This window comes from Homo sapiens, chromosome 14 (assembly GCF_000001405.40).
Source record: "Homo sapiens chromosome 14, GRCh38.p14 Primary Assembly".
Lineage (NCBI taxonomy): Eukaryota > Metazoa > Chordata > Mammalia > Primates > Hominidae > Homo > Homo sapiens.
In genome coordinates this window covers 25,915,542-25,924,928 of record NC_000014.9, presented here as the reverse complement: position 1 = coordinate 25,924,928, position 9,387 = coordinate 25,915,542, and the positions used below count along the sequence as shown (strand labels likewise).

At 37.3% G+C, this 9,387-nt stretch overlaps 1 annotated feature.

Moving 5' to 3' along the window:
* Positions 7,150-7,650: an enhancer, noted in NCBI's record as "H3K4me1 hESC enhancer chr14:26386485-26386985 (GRCh37/hg19 assembly coordinates)". NCBI's record gives its function as "activates a minimal SCP1, AML or CMV promoter by ChIP-STARR-seq in primed H9 embryonic stem cells {active_cell/tissue: H9 hESC(primed)}" and the evidence as "EXISTENCE:reporter gene assay evidence [ECO:0000049][PMID:30033119]".

Genomic DNA, 9,387 nt, shown 5'->3' with positions numbered 1-9,387 from the left:
AAGACACTTCTTGTTGAATATATAATTTGTACAATTATATATCCATTAATTACTCCCTACTTTGTAAATGTCTTCATTTGATATCAAACCATAATTTGACTTATTTATCAGTATCATAAATCTATTTTTCTTTCCAATGAGATTATAAACATAAGCAGGGTTTTTGTTCCATTCATCTTTGCTTTCATAAAATTTGATTGTCCAAATCCGAAACCACTCTGTCTTCTACCTGAAAATGATGCCTCTCTATGGAATACTAATAAAGGATCATCCAGCCTCTCAATAAACTTTTCACAGGATTCTCATGAGGCAGCTTGTTTCAATTTCAAATAATTTTTTTAAGGCAGCAATTTTATTTTTTATTTTTTATTTTATTTTTTTGAGACGGAGTCTTGCTCTGTCACCCAGGCTGGAGTGCAGTGGCATGATCTCGGCTCACTGCAAGCTCCGCCTTCCGGGTTCATGCCATTCTTCTGCCTCAGCCTCCTGAGTAGCTGGGACTACAGGTGCCTGCCACCACTCCCAGCTAATTTTTGTATTTTTAGTAGCGACAAGGTCTCAACATGTTAGCCAGGATGGTCTCGATCTCCTGACCTCGTGATCCACCTGCCTCGGCCTCCCAAAGTGCTGGGATTACAGGCATGAGCCACCGCGCCCAGCCTATGGCAGGCAGCAAATTCTTAAATTTCTTTCCTTCTCAACTTTTCACCACTAATCATAGTTAAGTCCTCCAAAATTACACAAAACAAAAATTAATCCTTTTTTTGCAAAATAATCTCTTGCATATTTGAAGGCAGAATTATTTTTTGTGTGTGTTTTTTAGGCTAAATAACCCTATTTTCACTAGCTATTCCTTACACATATTAAAACTCATGTTTAAATACATCTATTTTCCCAGACAACTGAATAGTTATTTAAGCTCCATGACAGCAAGAACCCTGCTTGTTTCATTTACACTGTTTTCATCTCACATATAATGATGTCTGACAAATAATAGGCAATCAAAATTATTTTTTAAATGACTAAGTGAAGGATTTTTGCCAGTGCAATAAAGCAAGAAAAAGATGTAGCAGGGATCTAGTTACAAAGGAAGAAGTAAAACTCTTTCTATTCACAGACATTACCATTTGTGTAGAAAATGTATGACATATCTAAAACGGTACTAGAACAAATAAGTCAGCTTAGCAAGGTTGTAGGATCCAATATCAGCTATACAAAAACCCAACTGCATTTCTGTATTCTAGCAGTGAATAACAGAAAACAAAAACAATTCTAATAACATCCAAAATATGAGAAACGTAAGATAAATTTGACAAAAATATGTAAAAATCTGTAACCTGAAAAATATAGAACGTTACTTAGAGATAATCATTATACAACATTGTCTAGAAAAAAACTAAGTGAAAAAATAACCATGTTTATGGGTTAGAAGGGTCAATATTACTAAGACATCAATTTTCCTTAACTTGATATGTAGATTCAATCGTATCACAATCAAAATCCTAGGAAGCTTTTCTGAAGAAACTGATGGATTCCAAAAGACATGAAAATATGAAAGAGCTAGAATAGCACAAACAACTTTGAATAATAAAAATGCTGGGAAGCTAAAAATAGTTATTTTCATAACATATAAAAAGACTAGTATAAAGCTAGTCATCAGGAAAGTATGGAATTGGCTTAAATATAGACAAGTAGAAAGGAACAGAATAGAAAGTTTAGTATAGACTCATACCTATATAGACAACAACAAAGGCAAATTCAATGGAGTAGCGATAGTCTTCCTATCAAATTGCGTAATTCTTACTTGAGCCAAAACCAATAATTATTCCAAGTGAATTATATATTAGGTATATATTATATTACCTAATGTAAAAATGAAATGTATGCAATGTAAAAACGTAAATGTAAAAATGAAAACTAAAAACTAGACAATCACGTGAGAAAAATCTTTGTTACCTCAAGTTAGGCTGACTTCATTGATTAGACACTAAAAGCATAATACATGAAGCAATATTAATTAGACTTCATTAATAATTTCTACTCTTCGACACTGTTTAGAGAATGAAAAGGTGAGACACAGATTGGTAGAAAGTAGTTGAAAATCAAACATCTGATAAAAGGATTGTATTAACACACAAAGCTTCAAAAAATCAACGATAAGAAAACAATCCAATAAAATATGGACAAAAGAGTTGAATTGACACTTTACCAAAGAAGATACACTAATAGCAAGTGAGTGCACAAAAAAAGATGCTGTCATTAGTCATTAGGGAAACACAAAAATCATAATGAGATACCCCAACACACCTATTCAAATAGCTAAAATGGAAAAGACTGATCACAGCAAGTATTGGTTGAGATGTAGAGGAATTAGAATTCTCAACACTGCTGGTGTGAATGTAGAATGGTAGAACCACATTGAAAAACAGTGTTGCAGTTTCTTAAGAAATTAAACATACACCCACTGTGTTATCCAAGAGAAATAAAAGCATATTATCTTCAAATGAAGATTGCATTTTGCACTTTAATGATTATAGGAGCTTTATTTGCAATGGTTCCAAACTGGAAACAACCCAAATATTCATTAATTGGTGAATGAATAAATAGTCATATCAGTATAATGGAACCCTGTTATGCAATAAATGGAATGAACTGTTTGTATACAAACAACATAATCTCAATCATGCTAAATGAGAGAAATTGAGGGAAAAAGTGTGTGCTATGAATGTTCATTGTTATAAAATTCTAGGAAATGCAAACTAATCAATAGACAGAAAATAGATGAATAGTTGCCTGAGATGCAGAGGGTGGTGGTCAGGGAGGGGCAGAAAGAAAGACATGAGGGAACTTTTGTTTTATATATATATATATATATGCTTATTTTCCTGTGGTGATAATTTCATGGGTGTATAGCATACCAAAACTTACAAAAATGTACACACTAAGTATGTGCAGTGTATTGCACAAGTACACCTCAATAAAGTTGTTATATAAAGAATATACGTCTGAAGTCAGTTATATCTAGATTTAAAGCTCATCACGTTCACTCATGTGCTATGTGCTTTTGGACAAGTTATTTAACTGTTCATTTTTATTTTAAATTGATTCTTTTAGAATCCCTTCAAACTTCACAGAAGTGATGTGAATGTAAGTAACAACTTGTCTTAGATGGGTGAAAGAGAGAGCTCCAATGCTGATGAAGTTGTACAAACTCCATCCTCCCCATTTGTAACCACTAATTTGCAAAGGGGCTGAGAAGTTTGCTGCAGGGGACACATAGTCCCTGTTCTCCATTCATCTTCTGCCATATTCACATACGTCTGATGGACTGGCAGGGCAATAAAGGAAACCAGATTGCTGGAAGGATAATGAGAATCTCCCTAGAGGTGGAACTTCCCAATAGGGAAGAAGGAGACTTGCTGGTGGTATACACAGGTCTAACATTTGCCAACTATGGAAATGGAGGACAAGCCACAGGTCAAGCTAGCCTAGCTATACTGAAGATAGTTGTGCTTTCTGAGGATGGGACTGAATGTATGTGAAATGATAGAGGTGCCTCACTACCCTCTGTATACTTTTGTATACGAGCAGATTTATTGTAGCATAAGCAGAGGGATCCATCTGCCTCTCTATTCACAAAAGCATCACAGGTCTCCAGCATTGAGTGCCACAGTTGTGTTTCATTGGCATCAGGTACGGTGGGCGTCCATTTCTACAGGTAGCAAGGAATGACCTGTACTGACCTATTGATAATGTCAGTGCACTTGGAGATTTCCTCAAAGTAATTAAGATGTGAATTTTCCTCAGGCAAACGAGTGATATTCTATAAGAAAAAGAGATGTACATTACTTTTGACAAACTTCATCTGTACTTATTTCAGGTAACAACTGAGAAACTGAAGTTACAAATAAGAGAAAAATTACATTGAAGACATAATAATAAGTCATTAGAGAAATACCGTGTTTCCAAACTTAATGGAAACGTTTCTTTCCTGACCTTACTAAATTCCCTAGCAGAACTCAACAATGCAGTTTACTACCATGATCTTGAAACATTTCTTTTCCAAATTCTAAGAGACCTCGTGATCCAATTGTTTTCTACCTCTCCATTTACTTTGTTTCTCCTGCCTCTCCATCCTTTTCAAAATATATTTCTCCAACCAATACTTTTAATCTTCACATTTTTGTATTCAACTCTCTACCTCACATCACTACAGGTATATCTCAAGATACCATGAATTTAATGTATTCTTTCTCCTAAACTTGTTTTCCTTTAGTCTTCACCATTTCACTATTATCCCATACCAAACAAGTAGGAATGAACCAGAGACCTGGGAAAAATAGTTCATTTCTCTAGTTTATCAGTCTAGAAACCTATAAAATAAGAAAATAAGTTTACTTAACTTGAATTATTCTCAGTGAATCTATTCTGGTTATTAAAGCTTCTTTTCCTGAAATTAAAAAGTACTGATGTAAGAATCTTCTAGAAAATTTTTAGGGAACCATTGTAAAATATACAGATATATTAAATAGTCTCTCATTCTCTTGTTTTTCTATTTACTTCCACTGAAACATTTAGTTTTTAGCTTAGATAATTTTTCATAAATACTGAATGTGTAATGCCACCTATATTGGATTTTGAACCATGTGTGACTTTGTGAGACATTTCCTCTTATCTCCTGTCCTGCACTGGTAGACTTGATAAACCTAACTATCCAAGACTGTAACTTCATTCCCAGAGGTAGCATTACTTTTTAGTCAGTGTGGCCACTGGGGAGTGAACCAGGATAAATGGGATTAAACTGAAACAATAGGAGGTTCAGGTTAAACACTAAAAGAAATGCGTCGAGAAAAGGTCACTTAGACATAGGAACAATTTCCCTTGAGAATGTAGAAATATCTTCATTGTAAGTTTTCTTTTTTTTTCTAGTGTAGTTAGACTAAAGTTCAACAAGAGTCACTATCTCATATTTCACAGTAGGCAATCCAGTTTTTTCCCCCCTACATTAAGAAACAGTAGAGAGAGGGAATCCATACTACCTGGGCCTGATATTTAACACCGTATAGAAAGGAAGCATTTCATGGCCCTTCCTATAAAATCCCCCCTTCTATTCTCCTTAAGCATTAACTTGTGACTCTGGAGAATAAGGCTTAAGTACCAGAGTTATCACTAGTGATGAAACTCATATCTCTTTTGAATTCTGAATTAAACATTTGTTTTGAAGGAATTAGTTTGAAGCTATTAGTCTATGACTGTTTAAAAAAAAAACCCTAGTGGAGTCATCTGTACACACTTAGCATTTAGTTTCTGTTGATAATGCTGTTAAATTGAGTTAGTTTTCTAATAAGTGTAACAATGAAATCAAATCTCTTTTCCCCACAGGCACTCCTCCAGCAGAATCCTAGTTTCTATCAGTCAAGGCGTATATAATCAGAAACAGAACTCTGCATGCAACAAGGTAGAGCTCTTTATTTGTGGTAGTCTAAGAAGTGGGAAACAGAACTTACTTTATCATGCATACCCATTGTTTTCAACCTTCATTGGTCAGAGGTCCTATGAAAATCAGACAAATCAACTGCATTCTTGTTTTTTTTTTAACTCATCAATTTTTAATTTTGGTATCACTTCTATTGACACATAATTGTTGAGGGCTAATCACATTAGTTTTAGAATAATGAGTATATCACTATGACATAAACAAATGAATATGCTTAATAAACTTCGAAGAATAGTGAGATTTCCCAGCCTTCACTGGCTCCATTTCTGGATTTGCAATGATGTTCATTGGAGGAGATGATGGGGAGGGAACAAAGTCCTTCTTTATAATTTTTATATATATTGAATGGCTCCAAAGTAAAGGTGACACACCAGTTGCCTGTGAGCGGGATTAAGTCTGCAGATATATTTTACTTGGTTCTCATAACTCTGTCAAGAAATTCGATGGAGAGCTTTGGTTCTATTGGTAGTAGTTTAAGACATTGAATTCTTCATTGCAATATTCTGATAATCTTTCTCTAACAATAGTGGCTGGACTGTCAAAATGGATTATTACAAAAGGCAGAATTATAAAATAATATTCATATTTTGAGCTAGTTATGACATAACCCTAAGTCCTCTACCACCATCTATTGTTTCTCCCTTTTTTACTTCATAATATGCTTTTATCACTGTTCTAACTGGTTAGTCTCTTGCTCTTTAAATCTCAGTTATTCTGTGTCATGCCAGCTACTCTCCTTCCTTTGCTAAGAAGAATGATGGTATTTTTGGTGAGTTTACTCAACTTTCCTCTCCTCCACTGCATCATTTCCCTGTTTCTTTAAGATTTGTTTTACCCTCTTTTATCTGACTTCTTTCCTTCAACATTGAGACTTATAATTTTTCTATCGGCTTGGTTTTCTTTTTAAGTTTTACATCTTAATTAATTTAAAAGAAAAATGGACACCTACCTGTATGTGTAAGTTTCATCAATTGCTAAGTTCTATGTGTTTGTGACTGTATTAGTCCATTTTCATGCTGCTGACAAAGATATACCTGGACTGGGTAGAAAAAGAAGTGTAATTGGACTTACAGTTCCACATGGCTGGGGAGGCCTCAGAATCATGGTGGGAAGCAAAAGGCACTTCTTACATGGTGGGAGCAAGAGAAAATGGGGAAGATGCAAAAGCAGAAACCCCTGATAAAACCATCAGATCTCGTGACACTTATTCACTACCATGAAAACAATATGGGCAAAACTGCTCCCATGATTCAAAAGATCTTCCACCAGGTCCCTCCCACAATACAGAATTATGGGAGTACAATTCAAGATGAGATTTGGGTGGGGACACAGGCCAAACCGTATTATTCTTCCCCTGGCACCTCCAAATCTCATGTTCTCACATTTCGAAACCAATCATGCTTTCCCAACAGTCCCCCAAAGTCTTATTTCACCATTAACCCAAAAGTCCACAGTTCAAAGTCTCATCTGGGACAAGGCAAGTCCCTTCCACCTATGAGCCTGTAAAATCAAAAGCTAGCTACTTCCTAGAGACAATGGGGGTACAGGTATTTGGTAAATATAGCCCTTCCAAATGGGAGAATTTGGCCAAAACAATGGGGTTACAGGGCACATGCAAATCTAAAACCCAGTGGAGCAGTCAAATTTTAAAGCTCCAAAATGATCTCCTTTAACTCCAAGTCTCACATCCAGGTCATACTGATGCAAGAGGTGGGTTCCCATGGTCTTGGGAAGCCCCCATGGCTTTGCAGGGTACAGCTTCCCTCCCAGCTGCTTTCACAGGCTGGCATTGAGTGTCTGCGTCTTTTCCAGGTGCACTATGCAAGCTGCCAGCGGACCTACCTTTCTGGGTGCTGGAGGATGGTAGCTCTCTTCTCACAGCTCTACTAGGGGGTGTCCCAGTAGGGATGCTGTGTGGGGACTCTGACTCCACATTTCCCTTCTGCACTGCCCTAGCAGAGGTTCTCCATCAGGGCCCTGCCCCTGAAGCAAACTTCTGCCTGGGCATCCAGGCATTTTCAAACATCTTTTGAAATCTAGGCAGAGGTTTCCAGACCCCAGTTCTTGACTTCTGTGCCTTTGTAGGCTCAACACCATGTGGAAGCTGCCAAAGCTTGGCACTTGCATCCTCTGAAGCCATGGCCTGAGCTCTATGTTGGCCCCTTTCAGCCACAGCTGGAGCAGCTGTGGGGCAGGGCATCAAGTCCTTAGGCTGCACACAGCATAGCACAGAGACCCTGGGCCTGGCTCATGAAATCATTTTCTCCTAGGCCCCCACAGGCCTGTGATGGGAGGGGCTGCTGTGAAGACCTCTGACATGCCCTAGAGACATTTTCCCCATTGTCTTGGGGATTACCATTTGGCTCCTTGTTACTTATGCACATTTCTGCAGCTGGCTTGAATATCTACTTAGAAGATGGGTTTTTCTTTTCTGTCACATTGTCAGGCTGCAAATTTTCTGAACTTTTATGCTCTGCTTTTCTTATAAAACTGAATGCCTTTAACTGCACCCAAGTCACCTCTTGAATGCTTTGCTCCTTAGAAATTTCTTCCACCCGATACCCTAAATCATCTCTCTCAAGATCAAAGTTCCATAAATCTCTAGAGCAGGAGAAAAATCCCACCAGCCTTTTTTTTAAAACATAACAAGAGTCACCTTTGGTCCAGTTCCCAACAAGTTCCTCATCTTCATCTGAGATTACTTCAGCCTAGATCTTATAGTCTATATAACTATCAGGCTTTTGATCAAAGCCACTGAAGTCTCTAGGAAGTTCCAAACTTTCCCATGTTTTCCTGTCTTCTGAGTCCTCCAAATGGTTCCAACCTCTGCCTGTTACCCAGTTCCAAAGTCACTTCTATATTTTCAGGTTTCTTTTCAGCAGCACCCTACTCTACTGGTACCAATTTACTGTATTAGTCTGTTTTCACACTGCTGATAAATACATACCTGAGACTGGGTATAAAAAGTTTAATTGGACTTATGTTTTCACATGGCTGGGGAGGACTCAGAATCATATTGGGAGGTGAAAGGCACATCGTGGCAGCAAGAGAAAATGAGAAAGATGCAAAAGCGGAAACCCCTGATAAAACCATAAGATCTCATGAGACTTATTCACTACCACGAGAACAGTATGGGGGACACCACCCCCATGATTCAGATTATCTCCCACTGGGTCCCTCCCACAACACATGGGAACTATGGGAGTACAATTTAAGATGAGATTTGGCTGGGGACACAGAGCCAAACCATTTCAGTGACTAAGACAAAATCAAGGTCTTACAATAGAAAAAATATTTTGTAACCATTAATTATAATGCAAAAACTACTTATAAAGAACTTCCAAAAAAGTGAAGCAAGAAAAATTTCAATGAATGATGAGAATACAGAGAAGAGGGATTAATTTTGCCTGTAATGTGAAATGTAAGGAGCTTGATTTGGAGGATAAGAGACTCAATGGGAACATTTAAGACAGCATCTAAGAGATAAACCCCAAAGTGGGTTTCCCAGTGAAACTTAACTTTAGGACTCTGCACTTGCATGGGTCTCTTCCAATGTGTTCCTATGGTCATATGTTTTTCTACTATTTACAAAAGTGGGTATGTTAACCATTGCTATTTAAGATCACTTTCTCTTTCTACTCCAACATCTCCTCCCATATACTCTGCCTGGCTCAGGTGGCTTGGAGAGGCCACAGGCTTTTGTGGTATATGATTAGGAGAATGTTGACTGGGAGACAGTTTGGGTTAGTGGCATATATTTCTGTGGTTTGCCATCATAGCCATATGTAGTTAAGTTATAGCAAGCCATCCCACGGTAGGTATATGTTTCAGGAATATTCCTCCCATATATTGTGTAAACTCGCCTATGGTTGGGACACAAAGGTATGAGC